This window comes from Homo sapiens, chromosome 4 (assembly GCF_000001405.40).
Source record: "Homo sapiens chromosome 4, GRCh38.p14 Primary Assembly".
NCBI classification, from domain to species: Eukaryota; Metazoa; Chordata; class Mammalia; order Primates; family Hominidae; genus Homo; species Homo sapiens.
In genome coordinates, this window is record NC_000004.12 from 75,980,225 (window position 1) to 76,007,700 (window position 27,476).

General features: G+C 41.2%; 2 protein-coding genes and 1 long non-coding RNA gene across 6 annotated transcripts in view; 1 reads left to right on the forward strand and 2 right to left on the reverse strand.

The window, feature by feature from the left end:
* Positions 1 to 10,721, reverse strand: part of SDAD1 (SDA1 domain containing 1) — a 41,031-nt gene extending 30,310 nt beyond the window's left edge. For 2 of the 4 annotated variants that reach the window (NM_001288983.2, NM_018115.4), the window contains exons 1-3: positions 10,528 to 10,721; positions 1,709 to 1,813; positions 1,148 to 1,246 (exon numbers count right to left, since the gene is read on the reverse strand). In NM_001288983.2, coding sequence (NP_001275912.1) covers positions 1,148 to 1,246; positions 1,709 to 1,813; positions 10,528 to 10,617 — 294 coding nt within the window. In that variant the 5' untranslated portion in view covers positions 10,618 to 10,721. Of the gene's footprint in view, positions 1 to 1,147; positions 1,322 to 1,708; positions 1,814 to 10,471 lie in introns of all 4 variants that reach the window. The other 2 variants (NM_001288984.2, XM_005263102.5) reach the window with 2 other exon arrangements.
* SDAD1-AS1 (SDAD1 antisense RNA 1) lies at positions 566 to 25,718 on the forward strand. The gene is made up of 3 exons (NR_125906.1): positions 566 to 741; positions 15,882 to 16,520; positions 24,849 to 25,718. It is a non-coding gene; the product is annotated as an SDAD1 antisense RNA 1 (long non-coding RNA).
* On the reverse strand, positions 21,051 to 27,285 carry CXCL9 (C-X-C motif chemokine ligand 9). The gene is made up of 4 exons (NM_002416.3): positions 27,162 to 27,285; positions 25,924 to 26,050; positions 24,585 to 24,669; positions 21,051 to 23,475 (listed from the first exon to the last, which is right to left on the reverse strand). The coding sequence occupies exons 1-4, from the start codon at positions 27,223 to 27,225 to the stop codon at positions 23,374 to 23,376; spliced, it is 378 nt and encodes a 125-aa protein (NP_002407.1). The 5' UTR covers positions 27,226 to 27,285; the 3' UTR covers positions 21,051 to 23,373.
* Positions 27,286 to 27,476: the final 191 nt, after the last annotated feature.

Sequence of the window (27,476 nt, forward strand, 5' to 3'; positions counted from 1 at the left end):
AGCTGAGTATCAATCAGTTGACAACCCAGGGCCTGAAACCTTGGCTTGTCTGAGACAGTATTCTTTTTCTTTTTGGCCTAATCAAATTACTAAAATCCTAAAGTAGTATAAAAATGATAGAAATACAAAAAACCTGAGAAAGTCTAAAAGAAAACAAATATTCATCTAAAGACTTGGCATTTCTACAAGTTGTGCTATAGGATATTAGTACGTTTTGTGATCATATTTGCGTACTTATCTGCTGTAAAGAGGTTTGAAAAGCAGATGTATTAAATTTGGAAATGTCTTAGTCCCTAGAAGCAGAGACTGATTTATTACAAGTGATTTGTTGGGGGTATGATCTCAGAAAGGAAGTGAAGGAAGGAGGATAGTGCAGAGACACGCAAAGCAAAGCAAGGATGTGCCCTTGACTGGAGACTAGCTTTAGTCCCAACACAGGAAAACACTGGAGCACATCCTGCATTGGAGTCAGAGCCACCCTGAGGTAATGGGCTGGGCTTTTGTACCACATGATAATGGGCTGTGGGCTACTAGGGTAGGAGGACACCTCCCAGGCACTAGGACTCCGATTTAGCTGAGGACAATGTTGCAGAGAAAGGGCAGCTGAGGGCCACCAGCAGCTGACATTCACAACAAGTGGGGCAAACAGGTACACCGGCCTCGTGAAGGGAATGTCAGCCAGGACTCAACCCCAACCACTAAAAGGACAATGATGAAATGCTCAAACTGACTGTCTAATGGGTAAGTTTACTAATTTAAGGCATTATAAAAATGACAAGTTGTGATTAGGATTCTACATGCATATGAGATTTGAATGACTAGAAGAAATCATCTCAAAAGGTTAAAGAGCATCCTGTAGGGTTAGTGTGCTGGAAGAATAGAAAGATCACAGTGTAGCTGAAAACAATATGATATCAGAAACACAGGCTGGAAGCAGATCATGCAGGCACTTTTGAGCCAGGTTATTAAGTTTCCGTTTTACTCTAAGTATAAATGAGAAGCCATAGAAGGATTTTTAGGAAAGGATAATACATTATAATTTACGTTTTCTGAAGATAATTAGCTTAGAGGCTGTTCTCATTTAAATATATATGAACGCAGCACACATGAACACAGCACAATTTATTCATCCAACTACTGGTCCTACCATTCGCAGATCTGGATCCAATACGGTATGATTGCAGGAGAGAAGATCTTTCACCTCTTGAGGAAAATTACTTAGGTACTCTGGGTAGCAGTGACTAATCTGTAACAAAGCAAAGGCTCTTCTGAAGTTGCTCTCTTTCTCTCCTATAATTCAGATGCATACATTTAGGATGTTCTGCAAAACGAGAGTAAAAGGCTATGTTTCATAGAAGTAGATGGTTCCAAACAACCTTCTTTTCCTTCTACATGTTAATTTCTCCAACATTTATCATGGTTTCTCTAGTCTTAGTAATATTTATGGCATGATTTAGTACCTGCTTTTATGATGAATTTGAAGAAAAAAAATAGTCTTAAAGTTTTGTCCTGGTTAGTTATGCAAAAAGATCTAGTGACATTCTCTAACTCATGATAGGGAGAAAATAAAATTTGCAAAAAGGGAAAGTTAGAAAAATATTTTAATTAAGTTCCCATTCCAGAGTGGAATAAGGTTGAGTATTAGTGAAAAAACATTCAGCAAACTGTGTGTTAATACTGGTCTTTATTTAAGCAATTATATTCTTACCTGTGCCATAAACATCACCAGCTCTGCTAGTTCTTTGCTGGGTTTATTTGGTTGCAATTTGAAAATCTCCACATTGGATTTGTAGTGATTATACTGCTGTAGAAACTGCAGAAAAATAAAATTTAAGTTTGTCACATTGTATTACATGACTTTCTCAGTACAGACATTCAGTAGAGAAATTCTTAGTAGAAACTGTTGACGATCACATGGAGAAAAAGATAATGCAAAAGTATATAAAAACACTCCTTTTGCCTTATCTGCATTCTTCAAAGTGCGCTTTTTAAAGACCTGAGCACATCACAGATAATCTAAAGAACTTTTCCTTGGAATTATCACTACAAGTTTAGGCAGCATGGTGTAAGAACAGAGAAGCATGAATCCCAAATTCAGATTGTAGCCCTGTTCTGCCAGTTACTATCTAAATGATCCCGACTGCTGGGTGTAGTGGCTCACACTTGTAATCCCAGCACTTTGGGAGGCCAAAGTGGGAGGATCACTTGAGCCCAGGAGTTCGAGACCAAACTGGGTAACACAGGGAGACCTTGTCTCTACAAAAAATACAAAAATTAGCAGGGTGTGGTGGCGTGCACCTGTAATTCCAGCTACTCAACAGGCTGAAATGGGATGATCACTTGAGCCCAGGGAGGTTGAGACTGCAGTGAGCTATGATCATGCCACTGCACTCCAGCCTAGGCAACACGGAGGCCCTGTCTCACAAAATAAAAATAAAAATAAATGACCCCTACTACCATATCCATGTATGCAGAGCACTCAAATCAGCAGAAAAATAACAGGGCAGAAATATAAATTATATCTCAAGTACATGAAGCTCTCCAGTCAAAATCCCACCCCCCCACTGCCACCCCTTTTTAAAAATTATACTTTTAAGTTCTGGTATACATGTGCAGAATGTGCAGGTTTGTTACACAGGTATACATGTGCCATGGTGGTTTGCTGCACCCATCAACCTGTCATCCACATTAGGTATTTCTCCTAATGCTATCCCTCCCCTAGCCCCCCACCCCAACAGGCCCCAATGTGTGATGTTCCCCTTCCTGTATCCATGTGTCCTCACTGTTCAACTCCCACTTATGAGTGAGAACATGCGGTGTTTGGTTTTCTGTCCTTGTGATAGTTTTCTGAAAATGATGGTTTCCAGCTTCATCCATGTCCCTGCAAGGACATGAACTCATCCTTTTTTATGGCTGCATAGTATTCCATGGTATATATGTGCCATATTTTCTTTATCTAGTCTATCATTGATGGGCATTTGGGTTGGTTCAAAGTCTTTGCTATTGTGAATAGTGCTGCAATAAACATATGTGTACATGTGTATTTACAGTAGAATGATTTATAATCCTTTGGGTATATACCCAGTAATGGGATGGCTGGGTCAAATGGTATTTCTGGTTCTAGATCCTTGAGGAATTGCCACACTGTCTTCCACAATGGTTAAACTAATTTACACTCCCACCAACAGTGTAAAAGAGTTCCTATTTCTCCACATCCTCTCCAGCATCTGCTGTTTCCTGACTTTTTAATGATTGCCATTCTAACTGGCGTGAGATGGTATCTCATTGTAGTTTTGATTTGCATTTCTCTAATGACCAGTGCTGATGAGCTTTTTTTCACTGTTTGTTGGCCGCATAAATGTCTTCTTTTGAGAAATGTCTGTTCATATCCTTTGCCCACTTTTTGATGGGGTTTTTTTTTTCTTGTAAATTTGTTTAAGTTCCTTGTAGATTCTGGCTATTAGCCCTTTGTCAGATGGATAGATTGCAAAAATTTTCTCCCATTCTGTAGGTTGCTTATTCACTCTGATAATAGTTTCTTTTGCTGTGCAGAAGCTCTTTAGTTTAATTAGATCCCATTTGTCAATTTTGGCTTTTGTTGCCATTGCTTTTGGTGTTTTAGTCATTAAGTCTTGCCCGGGCCTATGTCCTGAATGGTATTGCCTAGGTTTTCTTCTAGGGTTTTTATGGTTTTAGGACTCTTGTTTAAGTCTTTAATCCATCTTGATTTAATTTTTGTACAAGGTGTAAGGAAGGGGTCCAGTTTCAGCTTTCTGCATATGGCTAGCCAGTTTTCCCAACACGTTTTATTAAATAGGGAATCCTTTCCCCATTGCTTGTTTTTGTCAGGTTTGTCAAAGATCAGGTGGTTGTAGATGTGTGGCGTTATTTCTGAAGCCTCTGTTCTATTCTATTGGTCTATGTATCTGTTTTGGTACCTTAAAAAAAAAAAAAAAAGACTAGGTCTCCCTCTGTCACCCAAGCTGGACTGCAGTGGCACAATCATAGCTCACTGCCACCTCAAACTCCTGGGCTCAAGAGGTCCTCCTGCCTCAGCCTCCTAAGTAGCTGGGACCACAGACGTTCACCACCATACCCAGCTGATTTTTCATTTTTATTTTTTGTAGAGACGGGATCTCTTTATGTTGCCCAGGCTGGACTCAAACGCCTGGCCTCAAGTGATCCTCTCACCCTGGCCTCCCAAAGTGCTGGGATTACAGGTGTGAGCCATAGCACCTGGCTCCCCTCTTTTTTTACCTCTTCTTTTAAGTGTCAGTAACTTTATGCTAGAGCTCTAGGCAGGATGTGTTAACAGCCAATAGCAGTAGACACATGGAAATAATAATAGCTTCCACTTATTCAGCACTTGTTATGTACTAAGCTCCTTATGCACATCAACTCACTTACTTATGTTTAGTTGTAACAGCCACCTGATAATCAAATGTTGGAATTCACCAGGCCTCAATTCCACAGTTCCATGCCTTACAGCTAACTACTCTCCACCCATACATAGTCTATGTCTTTAAATTATGTGACATACACACACACACACAAACACACACACACACACACACACACACACACACACTCTTTCTCATCATCCCTACCTGGTCCAGTGAACTCCCAATTCACATATCCAGTCACCTGTCTGACATCTCTGTTTAGGTGTCTAAACAGACATCATAAACTTAGCATGGTCAAAAAACACAACTTGATTTCCTCAACAAAACTGCCAGGCTTTTTCTAAGAACAGAAGTCAAGTCCCTACATGCTTCAGATAGAACCACTTCTCTCTTGACCCGACACCTCCACTGAATAGGAGTGAGGAGAGGGCTACACAACTCTTTATGCTACTGACAAAATCCTCACCCCATTTCTTCCCCCACCCCACCCATGGCCCAGCTAACACTATTTACCCGCCTTGAGATGATCAGGACTAATCTCATTACACCCTTTATGTGCATCAGTCACCACAAGAGCCCAGTATTCCCTGGCCATCCCTCATCCTCCTCACTGTAATCCTCATTCCACTACAATCCTGAAACTCTTGGGGTGGGGCCAAGGCATCTAAATCAAACAGCCCAGTCATTCAGATGCTCTATGGGAACAGTGGTTTTCTCCTGACACACTGCTACGTCGTTTCTTTCTCCCAGCATGGATGAGTCAGTAGGCATCCTCCTTTTTCATCAATGCTACTTCCAGAGCACTCATATCCCTCCAGATTAATATCCTTTCTCCTCAACTGTCCTCACCCCCAGCTTTGAATCTTATGCCACAAGACCCACTATTCCTCCTTGTAGTCATCTAAAGACTAGAGTTATCCTCACATTCCTTCAACATTTCAGCTCTTTGCTCACTGTCTTCTCACCCTCTATCTCAATTCCTGTTATAATACTTGGTGATTTCGTATCCACATGGAGGGTCTTCCCAATACTCTGGCCCCTCATTACCCTGACTTCTCCTCCTCTAATCATCTTGAACTTACTGTATCTTAGCACTCACTTCCATGGTCACACCCTAAATGTTGTCATTACCAATAACTATATTACAACTCCATAATCTCAACTAGAGGTATATTCCTCTCCAACCACATCTCTTATTTTCCAAACTCCAACGATCCTTCAATCTCATCAGAATCCACAGTCCACTAAGCCTACTACCTTTCCACTGCACCTAAGTAACCCCCACGCCAACTTCCCTTCTCATCCAGCTTCAATTCCATGATCAATCATTATAATCACCTCCATGCGTATACTTCAACTCACTTGCCCATTTCTCTTATCATTATACCCATTTGGTAAAATGCCCACCCTGTGCTTTCCTTCTCTACAGCTATACTCCCAGAGCTGAACATGGTTGGAGAAAATCGGCTAATTGGTGTCATTTTATTTTTTTCATTTTAATTTTTTTTAGAGCCAAGGTCCTGCTCTGTCGCCCAGGTTTCCGTGCAGTGGTGCTATCATGGCTCACTGCAGCATCAAACTCCTGGGTTTAATCAATCCAACTGCCCTAGCCTCCCAATTAGCTGGGACTATAGGCACAAATTCATAACTACAAACCTCAATTAAGCCCTGCGTGTACTCCAGCAATCTCATTACATTTCTCTAGTCCCTTCACTTTCCCACTTTTCTGGACAACCATTTCATACTTTGCAATCTGTCCTCCAACCTCACTTTTTCCCTGTCCCCATTCTCAGCAGATGATCTTATCTCCAATTTCACTAGGAATATAAGCAATCTGAGGATAATTTCCATTTAACCACCTATCTTCTCCTGTGCCCATATACTTTACCTTCTCTCCTACTACAAAAGCTATCAGGCCACCATCTAAGGCTAGCCCCTCCAGTTATGCATTAGATTCTAAACCCTGTAATGTCACTCAATCAAGGTCTTTGCTTCACTAGTCCCCACCTCCCATTTCCTGCCTCAACAGGTTCTGCCCCATCAGTATATAGACATGCTGTTCTTTCTGCCATCTTAAAAACAAAACAAAACAAAACAAAACAAAAAACACCTTTCTTGGTTGGGCATGGTGGCTCATGCCTGTAATTCCAGCACTTTGGGAGGCTGAGGCAGAAAGATTGCATGGTTTCAGCTTGGAGACCAGCCTGGGCAACTAGCAAGACCTCATCTCTACAAAAAAATCAACTGGGAATGGTGGTTGCACACTTGTGGTCCCAGCTACCCTGGAGGCTGAGGCGGGAGGATTGCTTGAGCCCAGGAGGTTGAGGCTGCAGTGAGCCGTGATCACACCACTGAACTCTGGCCTGGGCAACAGAGCAAGACTGTGTCTTAAAAAAAAAAATCCTTTCTTGATTCCACTTTACTCTGTACCTTCTACTCTATTTCTCTCTTCAGAAAAAGTCCTTTAAAGAGTTGTCCATATGTTACCTAATTGCCCTCCTTTTTCAAAAAATCCTTTAAATTGAGATATAATTCATATACCATAAAATTTACCCTTTGAAAGTATACAATTCGGTTCTTCAGTATATTCACCAAGTTGTACAACCATAGGTTTTTCATCATCACCAAAAGAAACCCCAATCCATTAGCAGTTATTTCCTATACCCCTTACCCTCAGCTCTGGCAAACACTAGTCTACTTTCCATCCATATAGATGCACCTATTCTGGACATATTCTATTCATATACATTTCATATACATAGAATCATACTCCAATTGTTTTTAAACCTTCTGTAATCAGATTTTTGCACCCATTCCTCTTCCCAAACTGCTCAATGAATCAGGGTAGCCAATGACATCCATGTCGCTAATTTTTTTTTGTTTTGTTTTTCTGAGATGGAGTTTCATCTTGTTGCCCAGGCTAGGGTGCAGTGGCGCGATCTCGGCTCACTGCAACCTCCGCCTCCCAGGTTCAAGCAATTCTCCTGCCTCAGCCTCTGGAGTAGCTGGGATCACAGGTGCCCGCCACCACACCTGGCTAATTTTTGTATTTTTAGTAGAGATGGGGTTTCACCATGTTGGTCAGGCTGGTCTTGAACTCCTGACCTCAGGTGATTCACCCACCTTGGCCTCCCAAAGTGCTGAGACTACAGGTGTGAGCCACCGTGCCCGACCCCATGTTGCTAAATTTAATGGTGGTCAACTTTTGGTATTCATCTTATTTGACTCATCAGCATCTGATGTGCTTGGGTTCTCCCTCCCTTGGGAACATCTTCTATACTTGGCTTCCAGAACACCTCCTGGTTTTCCTCGAAACTTCACTGGCTGCTTTCTCAGTCCCTTTTTCCAGTTACTTAGAAACTCACTGGCCTTTAAATGTTGGGAATCCCCAGGGCTTTCTCTACCTACCCAATCCAGGATCTAATCACCCTTCTTACTACTTCCTGTTACCATCCTAGCACCACTCAACCCAGCATCATCTCTTGCTGTGGATAATTCCAATAGCTTCTTATGTGGTGTCTCTGCTTCTATCTTTGCCCTCCTACATACAGTCTATCCTCAAGTAACGGTGATCTTGTTCTCATATAGGGTGGTTCATGTATTCTTCTGCTCAAAACCCTGTAAAGGCTTCCATCTCATTGGGAGGTAGAATCCCAAATTCACCCCCTTTCCTCATTCCCTATTTGGAGCCACACTGGCCTTTATGTTCCTGAAATCTACCAGGCATACCTACCCCAAGGTCTTTATACCTTCTGTTCCTTCTGCCTAGATCATTCTTCCTAAACATATGCACAGCTCTCCCTCATGTCCTTCAGGTTTTCACTCAAAGATTACTATCTCAAGAAGACCTTCCCTAACTATCCAATTTAAAACTGCAATACCCATCTCACCCCCAACATACATAAGTACTTTCCTATTGTCTTTTTTTCACAGCACTTTTCATTATTTAACATACTATATTATTTGTTACTGTATATCACCCCCTACTAGAATGTCATTTAATGAGCATAGAATTTTTATCGGTACAGCTCAATATTATGTAGTCCCAGGGCCCAGCATTGTGCCTTACATATAGCAGGTAATCAACAGTATTTGTCAAATGAACGAACTTCAGGAAATGGCACTATCATCTACCTAGACATATAAATAAAAAACCTGGGTGATCCTTCATTCCTTCTTTTTTCCTTATCCCCCACATCCACTCCACCAGAAATCCCAAGGCTCTACTAGCTCTACCTCCACGTAGAACAGCACGAATCTTTGCCCATAATTCCAATGACACCACAATCCCTTGCTTGGTTATTCTGAGATCCATTATATTAGTTACCCTGCTTCCAGTGTTGCTCCTCTACAAGCCATTCCACATGTAACTTCCAGAGTAAATTCTTAAAAAAAATATGTCAGATCATGTCACTCTCCTGCTTAAAACTCTTCAATCACTCCCCGAGGCACTCAGAGTGAAATCTAAACTCGTTAACAGGGCCTAAGAGGCTCTGAATAAGCTGACCCCTGCCTGCATTTCCTACATCATCTTCCACTGCCCTCTTCTATGCTGACTACACTTTAGCTACACTGGCTTCTTCTCTGCTTTTTTTCCACCAGTAGCTTCTGCACTTTCTATTCCTTGTACCTAAAATGATGTTTACCTGCCTGGCTCAATATCATCATTGCAGAGCCACCTTCCCTGTTTACGGGGTCTAAATCAGAAGCCTCCAATTCTAACCTATTCCCATCCAGTTTTATTTTCTTCATAATCTCTACCATAATAAGTCTACACTCACTTGAATGTAAGTCCAAGAGAAGAATGCTTTCTTATCTGTCTTATTCATTACTGTACCCCAACGCCTACCTAGAATAACAACACACAGTAGTTATATGTGATTTTGCATATATACTTAAGTGAATTAAAGAAGTAGTTATTACCCCCTTCTTACATATTAAAATACCCACATAGGCTCAGCGATTAACCTGCTTCGGTTACACAACTGGTTAACAACAGTCAGCAGCAGGAGTTATCTAACGGAATTATATAGACTCTCAACTTACCACTTTCTTTGCGAATGGCTATACAATGCTTTAAGCATCTCAAAGCCTTGCCTATGTTACTTAACTTCTTGTACTTGTTTCCTACTCTTTATTTCCACTACCTTGATCCTTGGAGAGGCTTTCTCTACTGGTGACCTAAGCCACTGAGATTGCCATGTGTTAAAAAGCACTCATAAAATACATATATGTGAAAATTTAGGGGAGGAGGGAAGTGAGAAGGGCAATGAAAAAATAAGTAATTGTGTTAGCCACTGAACAAATCACAATCTGGTAGAAGCACAAACATGTAATTGCAGCAAATGCCTAGCAGAGATACCTGTTTAATGCCCGTCTGATAAATGAGTGTCTGAAGGAAGCACCTGTCAGATTAATATATCAAAAACCACTTTCGTTTTGTCGGTACTTGGTTCAAACACCCCTAATGTTCACAACTTACATGAGGTCAGTACACAAAGCCCATCACAATGAGGGCCTAATTTTTCAACCTAATCTTTTCCCGAAGCAAATTCTGACATCCGAGTCATGCCAGTCTCCGGTAAGTTTGAATCCTGGCTTAACTAAATATACTAAGCTCCCGAGTCTGTCCGTTGTGCTTGAGAAACCCCCCCCCCCCCTTTCCTGGCACAGTCCAGGGTACACAGCCTGCTCTCAGAAACGGACGTCAATCGAAAGCATTCTAACATACGATTCATCAAAGGTTACCGACTAATTCAAGTTTGGGATTTCTGAAAAGAGGCTGAGAAATCCGCGTGGAAGTTGGTGGTTGGGTGCGGCCCATTTCTCTCTCCACTTCCGTGCGGACGAAGAAAAATATCTTAAAACAAAATGAGGTTTTAAAGGTGTTTCAGCGGCAGCAGGGCAGGTAGAAAATCCAAAGGGGCAACAGATTTTCAAGAGGTGGGGAACGAACCCTAAGGCATGTCCCGTCCCCAACCCCTTCTCTCCTCTGGAGGGACCCCTGAACCTAACAGAAGAATAGGCGGCGAGCCTGGATCCCAGCCCCACTCCATGCTTTCCCGCACCGGCGTCTCAACCATCCACTATCCGGCCTCTAGCGTCTGCCGCGCCGCACTCCCACCTCCTCGATGTAGGCCGGCGGGTCTCGCTTGATTAGATTCTGTAACTGCGGCAGGTTGCTGGGAAGCTTGTTGTTGTTTCTGTTGGACATTTTGGCTGCAGACAGACTTCGCGGCGAGCAGTTTTAAAAAAACTCAGACGGCCGGCACCCCGCAATCCCTGCCAGCTGCAGCTTGGACTCGTGTTTCCGGGTATGACCGGAAATAGCGCATGGGACTCTAGGCAGGCGACACCTTAGCGGTTCCTAAAGCGAGCTATGCTACGGAAGCCTCAGAGTGTCAAAATTACTCTCGTTGCCAAAATACTCTGTGGTGTATTGGAGAGCCAGCCACCGCCGACCCGCCCCTCGCCCTTGGGCATATGCTACTACTTAATATTGCCTTGCGTTTCTGAAAGGATCTGAAATGTAAATTTTTTCACGTGTGTTAGCATGTATCGTCATTCCGACACCCATATGAAGCACATAAATGAGGATTAATCGTTTATTTTTAATCCCGCAGTCTAAAATTAGAAACTGACGCCTGTAATCCCAGCACTTTGGGAGGCCAAGGCGGGCCTGAGGTCGGGAGTTCGAGACCGGCCTGATCCACATGGAGAAACCCCGTCTCTACTAAAATTACAAAATTAGTCGAGCGTGGTGGCGCATGCCTGTAATCCCAGCTACTAGGGAGGCTGAGGCAGGAGAATCGCTTGAACACAGGAGGCGGAGATTGCGGTAAGCCGAGATTGCACCATTTCACTCCAGCCTGGGCAACAAGAGCGAAACTCCGTATAAAAAACAAAACAAAACAAAACAAAACTGAAAAGAACCGTGGCGCTAGATAACACTATTCCCTCTTAGGAGGAAAAAAGAGCAACGAGGGTCATATAAGTTAATGTGTATGATTTTAGATATGTTTTTATTTTGGTTTTGGTTGTTTCAACTTAGCGTGACCCATACAAGGGAAAAGAGGGCTGGATAAAATGTGATCATGTTGACCATTAATAAATGCAATTAATCGTTAAAATTCAACCATCGTTATAAGCTTTGTAAGCACTCCTCAGTCAGAGTTTTTAATTCAGATCCTGGTAATTCGAAGAGGAGAATACATTTCTACAATCTCAAGGTGTAAAAAATCAATAAGGGTTGAATGAATGAGGTAGGGTGTTGTGAATTAGAGAGAGAGAAAAAAAAACCTAATTACCCACCCTGTGCCAGGCACTATTCCAAGCACTTGTATTAACTTATTTAATCCTCAGAACAACCCTCTAAAATAGGTGCTATTGTTATCTACATTTTACAGAAGAGGAAACAAGCTCAGGGAAGTTGACTGCCTCAATTCATAGCCTGTGAGGAAGATGAGATTTCAATCTAGACAGTCTTGATTGTAACTACATGAGAAAAAACATAGCCTAACAGCTGGTAGCTGGTTGCTGGTCTGGCAAAATAGCCAGACAATAGGGTTCTGCTTAACCAAAGCAATTTTATAGAACGCCAACCTCATCTGTGACGATGATAAAATGAGCCCCAAACAAAACAACTCTGTAATCACACCTGCACACAAAATAAAGAATGCTTCACAAACCATGTTATTCAGCTGCTTTTGGAGAATGACTTATTTATTAATTATCAAATCAGTTACCTGTGAAGTTAAGAAATAAATGTCAGCAATAAATCTTTTTTAAAAAGCATAGATTTAAATTAAAATTTTTTGGCTAGGTTGTTTTAGTGAGGGCAAAAAAAGTATTCTCAAAACAAAATCTGGCTAAGTGTGGTAGCTCAAGCCTGTAATCCCAGAACTTTGGGAAGCCAAGGTGGGAGAACCACTTGAGCTGGGTAGTTCAAGACTAGCCTGGGCAATATAGTGAGACCCCATCTCTACCAAAAAGTTGAAAAATCAGCCAGGCATGGTGGCACAGGCTTGTGGTCCAAGCTACTGAGGAGGCTGAAGCAAAAGGGTTGCTTGAGCCCAGGAGGTTAAGGTTGCAGTGAAGCACTGCACACCAGCCTGGGCAATACAGTGAGACCCTGTCTCAAAAAAAAAAAAAAAAGAAAAAAGACTGCGTACAGGTACTTGAAAATGTCTGGTGTATTGAAACAATAGCCATAAGTTTGGTGTGACTAAAGGCTGGGAGGGCAGGGTGCAGCAGGGAAAGAGCTGAGAAGGTTATATTGTCCTGATATGAAAGGCTTTAATTGCTATTCTAAGGAGGGCATATAGGTCAGTTCATTTTACCTCCAGCAGCATGGAAGGCAGGATTTGTTTTTGATAAATGAGAACTCTAAGACTAAGAGTGGCTAACTGAATATATATTTTTCAGATGTTAAATAATTTGGGTATCTAAGGCCAACATCTCTGCTTTCATGTGAAATTCCATCCTTTATTTTTAAAATTATAATGTATTTATTTTATAGCTTTATTAAGATATAATTGATGTACAACAAACTACCCAGTGAACAATTTGATAAGTTTTGACATATGTATGTACCCATAAAACCATCATCACAATCAAAATAATGACTATATCCATCATCCCCAAACGTTCCTTGTGCCTCATCATCCCCAGACAAACACACATCTGCTTTCTGTCACCAAAGATATGTCTGTGTTTGCTGGAATTGTATACAAATGGAATCATACAGTACCTATTATTTGAGGTCAAGGTTCTTTCACTTAGCATAATTATTTTGAAATGTATCCATGGTGTTGTATGTATCAATAGTTCACTCCTTTTATTCCTGAGTAGTATTCCATCATATAGACATATTGCAATTTGTTTATCCATTCACTAGTTGCTGGATATTTGGGTTGTTTCCAGTTTTGGCTGTGAACATTCATGTTCAAGTCTCTTTTTAAGAGATAGGGTGTTGCTCTGTCACCAAGGGTGGAGTGCAGTGGCATGATCATAGCTCACTGCAGCCTTGAACTCCTAAACTCAGCCTCCCTAGTAGCTGGGACTACAGGTGGTGTGCCACCATGCCCAGCTAATTTAAAAAAATATATTTTTGGCTGGGCTCAGTGGCTCACGCCTGTAATCCCAGCACTTTGGGAGGCCGAGGCGGCGGGTCACGAGGTCAGGAGATCGAGATCATCCTGGCCAACATGGTGAAACTCCGTCTCTGCTAAAAAATACAAAAAATTAGCCGGGCGTGGTGGCGCGCACCTGTAGTCCCAGCTACTCAGGAGGCTGAGGCAGGGGAGTCGGTTGAACCCAGGAGGTGGAGGTTGCAGTGAGCCAAGATCGCACCACTGCACTCCAACCTTGGTGACAGAGCAAGACTCCGTCTCAAAAAAAAAAAAAAAAAAAAAAAAAAATATATATATATATATAAAAGACAGGGTCTCACTATGTTGTCCAGGCTGGTCTTGAATTCCTGGCCTCAAGTGATCCTCCCGCCTTGGCCTCTCAAAGTGTTGGGATTACAGGCTTGAGCCACCATGTCGTGCCATCAAGTCTCTATGTGGACATAAATATCTTGGTAAATGTCTAGGAATAGAATAACTGGATCAATATGATAGGTTTACGTGTAACTTTTAAGAAACTGCCGATCAATCTTTTGCTTCTACCATTCCACTGAAACTGTTTTTTATCAAGATCACCAATCACATCAATTTTCATTATTTAACTTAACCTGCAGCATTGGACACAGTTGGTCTCTCCCTTCTCCTGGAAACATACTTGGTAACTGACCTTTAACTGGTCTCTCTGCATTTTCCCTTACCCTCTTACACTGTATTTCCATGTAGTGGTCAGAGAGAGCCTTAAATGGATCAGGTTATTCTTCCAACTTCCCTTCTCACTCAGAGTAAAAGCTGAAGTTCTTCAGTGGCATAGAAGGCTGTTATGAACTGCATGATTGTGTCCCGCCAAATTCATATGTTGAAACCCTAACCCCCAATGGGATGGTATTAGGAGGTAATTAGTTCATGAAGGTGGAGTCCTCATGATGAGATTATCATCCTTGTAAGAAGAGACACAAGAAAGCTTACCTCCTTTCTCTCTGATCTCTGCCATGTGAGGATACGAGAAAACATCTGTTTGCAAATCAAGAAGAGTGCCTCATCAAATACTAAGATACTAGATCTGCTGGCACCTAGATTTTGGACTTGCCAGCCTCCAGAACTGTGAGGAATAAATGTTTGTTGTTGAAGTCATCGAGTCTGTGGTAATTTGTTATAGCAGCCCAAAACCTTATATGATCTGACCCCACACTATCTCACTGGGCTCCTCTCCCATCACTCTCCCCTTTGCTTACTCTGCGCCCCTTCAACCCTGCAATGATCCCCTAGCTGCCTTAAATGTGTCAAACTTCAGGCCTTCACACTTGCTGTTTCCTCTGATTCAAGTGCCACAAGCCTTGCTCTCTCATTGTCAAGTCTCTGCTCAAATGACAACTTATTAGAGATGTCTTCCCTGACCTCACAGCCCTCTGCTCACCCCACACTCCCTTCCCCTGCTTCATTTTCTCCAAAGCCCTTATCCGTCTCTGATATATCGTATACTTACTAGTTTAGTTGTTTATTGCCTGTCTTTATGCACTAGAATATGAGCTTAATGAAGACTGTTTTGTTCATTGTCTATCCTGTACACTTGGAGCAATGCATGCATATAATAGGTAATCAGTTAATATTTGTTGAATGAATGAATGAATGCATGGATAATCTCTAATGACTTCCAATTCTTCAACTGTGTGATTTATTAAAGCAGGAACTTAAAATATCTTGGACAAACGCAGATAAAATTTACCTGAAAATCAGTAAGTGACTAACGTGTGAATCCTTGTTATTACCTTTCTCATTAGAAACCAATGATATTGACTGTGTTCGGAAAAGCCAGTCATGTCTTCATCCTTTTCTGATTAAAATATATTGTTTTATTATTATTATTATTTGAGACAGGGTCTTGCTGTGTCACTCAGGCTGGAGTTCAGTGGCACAATCATGGCTTACTGTAACCTCAGCCTCCTGGGTTCAAACTATCCTCCTGCTTCAGTCTCCCAAGTGGCTGGGACTATAGGTGTGCACCACCATGCCTGGTTAATTTTTAAATTTTTTTGTAGAAATGAGGGACCGGGTGGGTGGGTCTGGCTATGTTGCCTGGGCTGGTCTCAAACTTCTGGGCTCAAGTGATCCTCCCGCCTCAGCCTCTCAAAATGTTGGGATTACAGGTGGGAGCTGCGATGTTTGGCCTATTGTTTAAAAAAACTGTTAGATTAGCCACTAGAGGGAGCTCATGCTTTTCTTGTTAACGGGAAAATTACATGATTTGACATGCCCACAAACTAAACAGAAATCTCATAAAGAATTATAGTCCTTAAAGCTAATTTAATTTTTTATTGCATTTTCTTTCTTCTTTCTTTCTTTCTTTTTTTAGACGGAGTCTCACTCTGTTGCCACGCTGGAATGCAGTGGCACGATCTCGGCTCACTGCAACCTCCGACTCTCTGGTTCAAGCGATTCTCCTGCCTCAGCCTCCTGAATAGCTAGGATTACAGGCATGCGCCACCACGCCCAGCTAATTTTTCTAGTTTTAGTAGAGACGGGGTTTCACCATGTTGGCCAGGATGGTCTCGATCTCCTGACCTCGTGATCCGTCCGCCTTGGCCTCCCCAAGTGCTGAGATTACAGGCGTGAGCCACCGCACCCGGCCTTTTATTGTACTTTCTTCCTCCTCTCTCTCTTTTACAGCTTTGTTATGAGTTTTCCCCACAAGCCCATGTATTTCTTTGCTCCTGTGGGCAGCGAAAACTTTTGGCCTTGCCTCTGGACAAATCTATCAGGGCTGATAGATTTTGTCATTGGTACAGGCCCTCGCTTCTCATCCACCTCCACTGCCTCTCTTTTTGCTGATCCAAGGTCCCCAACATTCTCCCTAGCTGGCAGAGATCATCCCTGTTTCCCCATTATTCAGAGAAATTTAGCTTAGTTTTGCTTTAACTTCCATACCATCAAAAGTCCTAGGCCCATCTCTCCCTAATCAAAGGCTCCATACAAAAGAGACATCTGCCCTGAGGTAAATTCTGAGGCTTTCAGTATTGCAGAAGTGATTGCTGGCATTTCTTTTTCTAAGCAACACATTTTTTCCCTCTCTGTTATATAGTTTATTTTGACATGTATCCTCTTACCTAATAGATTGTGATTTTTAGTTCTTCATTCCAGAGGAAATGCAGGTTGTCTACTCCAATGGTTAAAGAAAGCTGGTGGTAGATGGCTGTACCTACTTGGTCCTATACTCTACCAGAAGGCAGAGGCCAAGATTTAGTTTTCTGGAGATGGAGATACCAGCAAGTCCTTCCTTCTTTTTTTCTTTGAGCAAAACAAATTCTTTATTAAAACAGTTGACTTGAAACAGTATATTATATCTAAAGGAAGAGTTTTTTTTTAATCTGTATAGCAGACTTTTAAAGAAAGCAACTAGTTATGTATAACTTGACACCTTTCCCTCTAATCTTTTGTCAGTTTGCCCCAGTTCATAATCTTATTAATGGACTTAGATTAGACTGTTCCTTTGTGATTTATTCATCTCCTTAAAATGTAGGGTCCAAAGTTGAAAGTTCCCTCCTGAGAACTTTAAACCAATGTGGGTATCAAAATGCCTCAAGTGACTTCTTGGCTTGTGATGACTTGGGAGCTAATTCCACTCCCTATTAAGAAGTGTTGCCTGTTTTTCTTTCTCATTTAATTTCATCTCCTGTCTATATAGGCCAAAAACGAGACAGTACCTAAAGTATCTGTGATTGTAGTCTCTCTTTATCTTCCTTTCCAATAAGAAGGCAACTTTCCAGTTTCCCCGTAAGGATAAAACAACTACAGATAGCTTCCTCCCAGTTAACTGACCTAGAGATCGCTAGCATTTATTTATTTATTTATTTATTTAATTTATTTTGAGACAGAGTCTCACTCTGTTGCCCAGGCTGGAGAGCAGTGGCACGATCTCAGCTCACTGCAAACTCCGCCTCCTGGGTTCAAACGATTCTTGTGCCTCAGCCTCTCAAGTAGTGGAGATTACTGGCGTGTGCCACCACGCCCAGCTAATTTTTGTATTTTGAGTAGAGACAGGGTTTCACTATGTTGGCCAGGCTGGTCTCAAACTCCTGACCCCAAGTGATCCAGCCACCTTGGCTGGGATTACAGGCGTGAGCCATGGTACCTGGCCACTAGCATTTAAATTCATAAGAATAGTTTACAGATTAAATACGTCTGAGTCTTTTATCCATTGCTCTAATGTATAAAATTTGTTCAGGCACAGACTGCTTTCTAGTATAGCAAAATAATTGAAGATTTTAATCATAGAACAATCCTTACTAGTTAAAGTCATTTTATGACAGGGCATGGAGGTGGATATCAGTGTGGCCAGGAGGATTCTGGGATGGAGTCATGGGAAAAGTGGGACTTGAATCATGTGTAGGTGGGAGTCAGATGAGTTGGAAAGTAGGACAGGGCGAATAAAAGAATGAGCAATGCGAGGGCAGAAATGAGCATGAGATGAACATGACAAGAGTAGTTGAAATTGATTTGGAAAAGGCCTAAAATGAAAATTTAGGGTGAAGTATATGTCAATCAACTAAAAAATACATATTAGGAGCTTCCTAAGTGCCAGGCACTGCTCTAGGCATGCAGTAGTGGGGAAGACAAAGTTTCCATGGTCGAGAAACCTAAATTTGTACATGTGGTAGGGTAGGAGGGAAGATATAAGTACACACATTATTTTAAAAGGTAATTGTAGATTGTGATGGTTTGATCATTATATCTAATCATGATAAAAGAAAATGAAACAGACTCTAGCCACCGGATTTTTAAAATTGTGTACCCTTCTAGTTAAAATTAGAACAGCCATCCCATCTATGTATGTTTTGTTCTCTTGTTAGTTTATATTAGCATTATTAATATGATCTTCCACAGGAATTTCTTAGCAGGAGTCTTTTAGAGCCACTTGCCCATTTTGTGAAGGTTGGCTTAGTGAGCACTCTGTCTTGTAATCCTTAAATCCCCTTAACTACATGCACATAAATGGAAACTCATGTTGCAATCTGCAGAAGGTGAATGACTGAGTGAGGGCACATGCCAGCCCCTCAGTTGTGGCGATGTCACCTTTTCCTCAGGAATTTCTTAGCAGGAGTCTTTTAGAGCCACTTGCCCATTTTGTGAAGGTTGGCTTAGTGAGCACTCTGTCTTGTAATCCTTAAATCCCCTTAACTACATGCACATAAATGGAAACTCATGTTGCAATCTGCAGAAGGTGAATGACTGAGTGAGGGCACATGCCAGCCCCTCAGTTGTGGCGATGTCACCTTTTCCTCAGGAAATTAGCACATGACAAATGATTTACAGTCAATTTTCAGTTTTTTCTTGTTTTTTAGACAAAAATGTAAGTTCTAAATATTTTCATCAACTCCATAAGGTACACACACTGGAACCACTACCACTACCAGAGAGAGAGTCTGGGGAAAGAGTGGTTATTTTACTAAGGGTCATAAGAGAAGGGGACTCTGTGAAGTGACATTTAAACTGAGACTTAAGTGATGAGGCAAGAACCGCCATGCAAAGAAGTGTGTGTAGGCCCAGGTGTTTCAGGGAAGCAGAGCCACTATGAGTATTATGAGGATAAAAATTTACTATAGGATTCAGATCTCACAGATGAGGAAGGATCTCAGGGAGTGAACATCTAGAAGGGAGAGTCAGGGGATCAGAGGAAGAATCAGTGACTGGTCCATCAGAAGCACTGGGACAGTTGGACAAATAGAGCTTGTGTGAAAAATCCAAGAAGTTAAGCCCGTTCAGCGCCAAATTGGGGCTGCTAGGGTCTATGGGAGCTGTTGCTTCTGTGTAACTACCGCCTCTGTGGGTCCACTGCCAAATATCTGGGTGGGGGGCCTGGGACCATCACTGATCATGAGGCCAGCAGTCCTGAGCATAAGCTGAACATGGAGGAAAAGAGCAAGGACAAGCTGGGATCCACTGGCTACCAGTGTGTCTGTCAATATGTCTAATCAAGATTAAGGGTCACTCCTTCACTTTTGATTTCCAAATCTCACATGAGTTCTTCTTTGGCTAACTATAACCTGGAACCACACAGGGAAGGAGATTCTGGGAAATGTAGTTGTAAGACTAACCAAGTTGATATAGTACAACCCAGAACCACAGGGAACAAAAACCCCAGAAGGCAATGAATTCAGTGTGCTCAAGAGACATACAGAAAAAAGGTGATGCTGAGGCTCAACAAAGGAGGGGAGGGTAGAGGGAGCATGATTAGATAAGCAGGCAGATCCCAGCTTATGTTAGGCCAGCTCATGGTATGTTTTGACTTAATGCTAAGCTGCAGGATTTTAAGCAAGGTGGCAGCATTCTGTAAGTTATTTTTTAAAAAGATTATTCTAGTTGTCATGGAAGTTAGGGAAGCAAGAGAAATGTTGAGAAGAAGAGCCAACAGGGAAAACAGCAGGCTACTGAGGTAGCTCAGGAAAGAGACAATGATGGCCTGGACTAGGATTATAAAATACAGATATTGAGAACTGGTCAGGAAGCCTTTTAGTCTCATTTCTCCAACATGTTTTTTCAGTGCTGGAAACATTTCTCTCTCTATGAGATGTAGGATCCATCTGCTGCAAGGAAGATGCAGCAGAGGTAAGTGGTTAGGGAGGATCTGGGACAAACATTGAGGACTTTCTCTGCACCAAGACCTATGCTGAACCTGCTCCTCACAACAATCTGGAATGAGGAAAATGATGCACTGGGAGGTTAAATATTATACTTTAACCAGGGTCACACAGTTAATAAGTAGTGGGCCCCTGATTCTAACCAGGATATCTCAGAATCCAGGATCTTAGCTCCTTCCAGAGTCCTGTTGCCTCTCAGGTGAAGGCCCTTGTGAGAATTCATGTCTACCATTAGCAGCTGTTATCTGCCCGAATATTACACCTGTCTGGCCTCTAAAGTGTACATCAAGTGTACAGGCTGATGCTCTTCGTTCCACTCTCAACCTTCTTAGAGACTCCACGCTGCGTAATGCCTCCAGCCCAAGTTTCCTGGACCCTTAAATAATTCATTCAGTGTTTAGGTCTCCATCATAACTACTTGAGGCTTTACAATATTTAAACATATACAATTTTAGGGATAGAAAAGAAGACGTGTTGGCTTCCTGGGGACACACCTCATTGGAATAGTGTTACTCTTGAGGATTAGGAAATACATTGAATTCTACATAATGCTTTTTTTTTTTTTTTTTTGACAGAGTCTCACTCTGTCACCCAGGCTGGAGTGCAGTGGCATGATCTTGCCTCACTGCAACCTCCACCTCCCGAGTTCAAGTGATTCTCCTGCCTCAGCCTCCCAAGTAACTGGGACTATAGGCGCATGCCACCATGCCCAGCTAATTTTTGTAATTTTAATAGAGATGGGCTCTCACCATATTGGCCAGGCTGGTCTCAAATCCCTGACCTCAAGTGATCCGCCCACTTCGGCCTCCCAAAGTGCTGGGATTATAGGCGTGAGCCACTGCGCCCAGCCCCACATAACTCTTTTAAATCAGTGTTGTTGTAAGGCAGTGTTGTCATATTTTCCATAGGTTTTTTTTCCTGTTCCCGATCGACCCTTTAAAGAGCTTTCATGTGTTATCTCAACTAGTGTTACACTTTATTTGAGAGAAAGCTAAAAAGTAAATAAGGACATATAAGATTTACTATTAAACATTCAACAGTTGAAGGGTACATTCAAGAGAAAAAAAATCAAGATCTGTTTTCTGATTAATGGTCTATTTATTGATACCATTCTATTTTAACAAAGAAAATATTTCAAATTACAAGGTATACAAGTCAATACTGTTTTGAAGTGAAAAATTATTTGCTTTGAGAGTGTATGCATGTATGTATATATATGATAAATGATTATAACGTGTGTGTCAGTGACAATATGTAGTCTTTGGTTGTTAGTTATATACTGTCTACCTGTGAGATGCAAGGTAAGTGGGTCACAGACTCTCAAATTTATGAAACACTTAGATTTTTCAGGGAAGTTACATGAAGGAACTAGGGAGTTTCATGATTAGATAAGACGTTCGGGTGGGATCTCCACCGGACAGCACTCTAAATCATCAGCAGTGTGAGCAGTGATTCAATTTGGGAAAGTGAGTATAGGTTTAAATTCTGGCCACAGACAACCTCTCCTACACAATTCACTGAACCTCCCCTGGAAGGAGGTTTCCACATCCTGCAGAGGCTAACTGGGCACCAATCATGCTTCCACTAACCGACTTGGCTGCTTCCTCTAGCGCTTAGTACTTCACCGTTCCCTTTCTTCATGGGAGATGGTGTGGTAATTGATAATCACAATACAAACTCTGAAACAAGTAAACGGACAATAAAACTCATATTTGCCTAAAATGAGTTTCGATAAGGATCTCGGTGGCTATCTTGTTAGATCTTAGAAAGCTGAGGCTTATTGAGAAAGCCCTTTTCCTTCGGGAAAAGGAATTTTTGTATGGTTGGGAAAAGGTTGGTCACTGGCTGATCTATAAAGTCCTTTTCATTGTAAGATTATATGATTTTCGGTAAACTGTATATTTTTTAAAAACAGTCCAGAATATCCGCAAGTGTTTTACCACGTGCTTCTTATTGTTGGAGAAGCTGAGCAAACATCCTGTCATAAAAAGACAAGGATGTTGCATCATCCCTGGTCCCTGTAGTGAGTGTCCTGAAGATAATAAGTAAGAGGTTACCAGAGGCTAGCCAACATGGAGTAGCCAGGAAAGAGCCAGCACCTGCTCTGAGACAATGGTCTGGTTGCCATCCTGCCCATAACAACATCAATTAAAAAATTATTAAAACCTAGTTCCACAGTATTATTAGGCACTGTGGAAGAAACAGGGAAATATACTGTGGCTCTTGCCCTCAAGGAGCTGACAATCTGGTTGGAGAGATAGGATAAACACCCAAGAATTAGTTAACCATTGAGTGTTCACCCATGTGGTACTGAACCAAGTGAAACAGGAGTTTTAAGATAATTTGTGTGTCCAAAAAGGTTTATTTAAGAGGCAGGACTTGAACTAAGCTGGACTGAGTGAGGATGAATTGGGAGAAGAAAGCACTTCTGTGGGGTGTTGGGGACAAGATGAGAAAGGAGTTGACTCAGATAAATCAGAGCATATGACAGGTGCACTGGAGAGAAGAAAGGCACTGCATTGTGGTAGGATGGAGAAGAGCTGACTTGAATGAAGCAAAGGGGAACAAAAAGAAATAAAGTGGTCAGCCTGAGCGGGCAAGATGGAATCACATGGCTTCCAAAGCCAGAAAGGAGGCTCTGAAAGCCACACACTGGTGATCTCCAGTGGTGATACCCAATAACAATCAGCATGAATCTCTCAGACACATTGTGTGTGAGGCCTGTAGGCTGATTCAAATACAGAGGTTGATGGCCACAGCAGCTTGGTGAGGTCCAGCTCAATTTCAAACTGCTTGGCTCACCAGCATGCTAACAGGCTTAGGACTTGCTGACATGTGCCTCAGATACTCTCTGGAGGCTGCAGTACGTGGAAGCCTAGGGCTGCTCTTCCAGGCAGCTGTTGTGAGTGGGATGTGGTTGGGTGAACATCTGTGTAGACATGGGTATTGCTAAAATCATGGCCTTAAGCATGATGAAATTCAACTGGTGGGTGGTAGAAGAACAAAGACAATCATAGCCTTTAACAATTCTTAACGTTTGGATTCTTAAAATCAACTTTCTAACTTTAGTTACAATTTCAGAGTAATGTTTTAAATTTTCTAGTCAAATTAATAAGCCTTTGTATTATATGCCATCCTCCTTTGGAATGATAGCGGTATAATTAAAATAGAACATTTTTAACACAGAATACTTATTGGTGAAGTGGTCTCTTATGTAGTCTTCTTTTGACGAGAACGTTGAGATTTTCGAACTTTCAGAACTTTCTTTTTTTGATGTTTTTTCCCATTCTTTTGCTTTTTCTTTTGGCTGACCTGTGAGAAGAAGGGGAAAAAGGGCAATGTTTCTGAATCTTACCATTTTTACTTCCTTTTATTTGGACTCTCCTGATCATTGTCTCATACCCACATAGTCTCAAAACCACATTAAAGTCACTTCACTCTCAGAGGGGCTCCCTTAGATTCTCTCTACTTTGCTCACTTTGAGGAGGAGGCAACAGCCTTCAAACTGGCTGTCTTTTGTCTATTCTTCTGGCTTATTACATTCTCCTGGCAACCTTGCTTACCACTCACCTGCCCCAGCTACAACCCTCTGAAGGTGGCACTATTATCATCCACGTTTTACATAGGAGGAGGCTGAGTTCTGGAGAGGGTGACTTTCCCAAATCTAGACAGCTAGTATGTGGCAGAACCTCCAGTCTGTGAGACTCCAGAACCCAATCTCCCACCCACATATTCTGTGGCTCTCTTCAAATCCAACTCCTTAGTATGCCATGCAGGATTCCTCCCGCTTTGTCCTGATCTACTTTTCTGCCTCAGTCCCTTCACTCTCTTCACACAAACTCCAGCCACATTAATGGAGGCTCCCTGAACACAGCAGGTTCTCTCATGATTCTACTCTTCTGCTCATGCTGTCCTTACCTTCCTGGCAAATTATTTATCCTTCAAGACCCAAATCAAATATCACCTGACATGAGAAATCTTCCTTAACACTTTCTCCTGCCCCATTCCCCCAGCAAAGTTAAGTACTCCCTCCTCTATGTCGTCAAGATTCTTGTGCATACTTTTATATTTCTCACATTGTACCATAATTATTAGCATATGCACTACAACAGGAAGGGACTATACCTTATTATCTTTGTATCCTGTGTCTACCATTCAATTCATTACATATTTATTGTATTAAATAAGGACAAGCTCTGTACCCCCAAGGAACACACATTCTTCCAGTGGGAGACAGAGAGGGGATACTATATGTAGGAACCTAATTTTGTCCTAGGAACAAAATAGAAGCACCATAATATGAATGAAAAATGTATTCTTAAAAGTTATGTATTCTTATAGTGTTAATGAAAAAGCAGATTCTTTGTCTTCTAAAGTTAATTTCTAAAAGAAAGAAAATTTTGATCTTCCTTTTCACCAACCTGTTTCTCCCACTTTTTAATCAGTTCCTTCACATCTGCTGAATCTGGGTTTAGACATGTTTGAACTCCATTCTTCAGTGTAGCACTGCCAAAGAAATAGCAATGAGATAGTTTTTTCTCATTAATAATTTAAATGCTTCTTCTCAGAAATAATGAAAATCAGTATGAATTGTGCTGAATTTTCTAATGAAACTACTTAAAATTATTTCCTAGGACAAGATGAGTCACTGGTTGAATTTTTTTTTTTTTCTTTTTTTGAGACAGAATTTCGCTCTGTTGCCAGGCTGGAGTACAGTGGTGCGATCTCAGCTTGCTGCAACTTCCAACTCCTGGATTCAAGCGATTCTCCTGCCTCAGCCTCCCGAATAGCTGGGACTACAGGCATGCGCCACCACGCCCAGCTAATTTTTGTATTTTTAGTAGAGACAGGGTTTTACCACATTGGCCAGGATGGTCTCAATCTCTTGACCTCATGATCTGCCCACCTCAGCCTCCCAAAGTGCTGGGATTACAGGTGTGAGCCACTGCACCCGGCCCTGGTTAAATTTTAAAAATTACTTACAGTAGACTGTCTGGAAATAATTTAAATGTTCCTTTAATTTTTCTGTATAGTCTGAGAATAAGAGTAGTCAAGGATGACTTATAAAGACAAAATATGCACACATCCTTCAACCTAGCAATCCTAATCTCTAGAAAGGAAAGAATTACAGACACAATACTGCCACAGTAAGTTTTATTTCAGCAGTAAAAATTTGGAAATAATCTATATTTCCAACAATAATCCTGGTCATATAAATTATGGTTTATCCATATGATGAAATACAGTTTGGCCATTAAAAATGACATTAAGTAAAAATGACATTATTAGAGATTTACTGACACGAGAAAATGTTCATGATATAGTGTTAATGAAAAAGCAGATTACAAAACAGTGTATAGTATATGATTTAATTTTTGTGCTTATATACGTGTATGTAAAAACATATCTATGTTATGTGCACACGAAGCAAGTAAGGAAGATTTAGAAAACTGTATACTAAGGGGTTAACAGTATTTGTCACTCAAGGGTAGAATTATGCGTGATTTTTATTTTCTTCTATTGTGTTACCTGCATTAAACATTTTGTACAATAAACATGTGTCATTCTTGGGGCCTAATCTACCAGAAATTCCTTGCATTTTTAAGGAGAAGAAAAGAAAGGAGCTGCCCAAATTTATGGAGGGGGTAACCATCTGATTTTTAAGTGTTTGTATGGGCAAGCACTCCAAGGGTAAAACTCATGCTAAATTTAATGTTCTTGCCAATATGGTGCATGCATGTTAGCTGGGTTGTTACTTACATGATTTCAATTTTCTCGCAGGAAGGGCTTGGGGCAAATTGTTTAAGGTCTTTCAAGGATTGTAGGTGGATAGTCCCTTGGTTGGTGCTGATGCAGGAACAGCGACCCTTTCTCACTACTGGGGTTCCTGAGGGAAAGAAAAAGATAGAACACATCAGTATAGGCCAATGTTTCAGTTTAGGTGATCTATCAAAATGATACACTTGACTGAGTCATGATTATTGCTATCATTTACCGAGTGCCTAAAAATAATCACCACAAACCTTTGAAGGAGGTATCATCTCTATTTTATACATAAGGAAACTAAGGTTCAGAAAGATTAAGAACAAAGTCATACAGCTTTTAGGGAGCAGGGGCAGGGTTTTAGCCCAGATCTCTCTGAGTCCAAAGGCGTTGCTCTTAACTACCACACCGTAAGTCCGTGGGAGAAAAAGAGACTTTCACAATATTTAATAAATGCCTATCACAAGACAAACAGATAACTAATTCATGTATGCTATGCTGATCACAGTTTCTTAAGCAACTCCTAAACCATCTATTATTTATTATCTGACCTTAAGGAATGGAACTGGTGTTGGTGTTGAATAGAAAGCACTCCTTTGTAACCAATCACCACTTTCATCCTCATCCTCTCTCCTCCCCACTGCCTTGCTTTTCAATAGTGTTTTAAATTTTTGAAAACCCCTTAAAATACATTATCTTAATTCTTAAATTCATATATTTACTTGGTACTTATTGTACCATATGCCATACATTGTGTAGCAGTCAGAAAAGGTATAACTACAAAGTTCTATTTTACAGATGATGAGGAAACTGAGGTCTAGAAAGATTAAGTAATTTGTCCAAGGTAACAAAGATAGTTAGTAAATAGATTAGGGACAAATTCTCTGATTATTGGTTGGATCCTTAATTGGTTAGCCACAGATATACTTAGCAAAAAACAGTATCAGGGAGAAGAAAATAATTTAGGAGATAGAGTTCTCATTATTACCCAGTTCAATGAACATTTATTGAACACTTACTAGGAATTCATACACCTAGACTACAAAGACTTGTGTTTGACTTGGCAGATCGAAGTTATGAACTTTGGATAACTGGTCATGTCACTGAGAAGCTTTTATGACTGACCAAATATTACTCTTCAATGCAGGCAGAACATTCACCTTTATCTGGCTAATCAAGATTCTTTTACAGTGAATCACTTCTCTTACTTTACAACCTAACTCAGAACCCCTTACCTTGCACTCCAATCAGAACCAGCAAGATGATGCCCAAGAGGAAAAGAACACCACTTTTCTTCATAGTGATAGAATGGAGTTCCAAGTCACTCCTGTATTGGATTTTGAGCCTGAGAAATTCTTTAGAGAACACATTTTGGGGATCATATTTATTTAGGATATTCATTTCTCTCCTAAACTCTGATTGGCTAGTATCTTTAGCTGAGCTAACTAAATTGACCACAAACTTGATTGTGCTGGGGGAAACCCTAGTCTCAGATCCAAGGGAATTTCTGCATGTTTTTATTTCCATTTCACATAAATGGGTGGTTTATA

Excerpts from the sequence above, each read along its gene's own strand:
- CXCL9 (NM_002416.3), bottom strand. The coding sequence starts at position 27,225 with ATGAAGAAAAGTGGTGTTCTTTTCCTCTTGGGCATCATCTTGCTGGTT. Across the intron at positions 26,051-27,161 it reads GGTTCTGATTGGAGTGCAAG|GAACCCCAGTAGTGAGAAAG; the intron begins GTAAGGGGTTCT and ends TCTTTCCCTCAG. Across the intron at positions 24,670-25,923 it reads TGCGAGAAAATTGAAATCAT|TGCTACACTGAAGAATGGAG; the intron begins GTAAGTAACAAC and ends TTTCTTTGGCAG.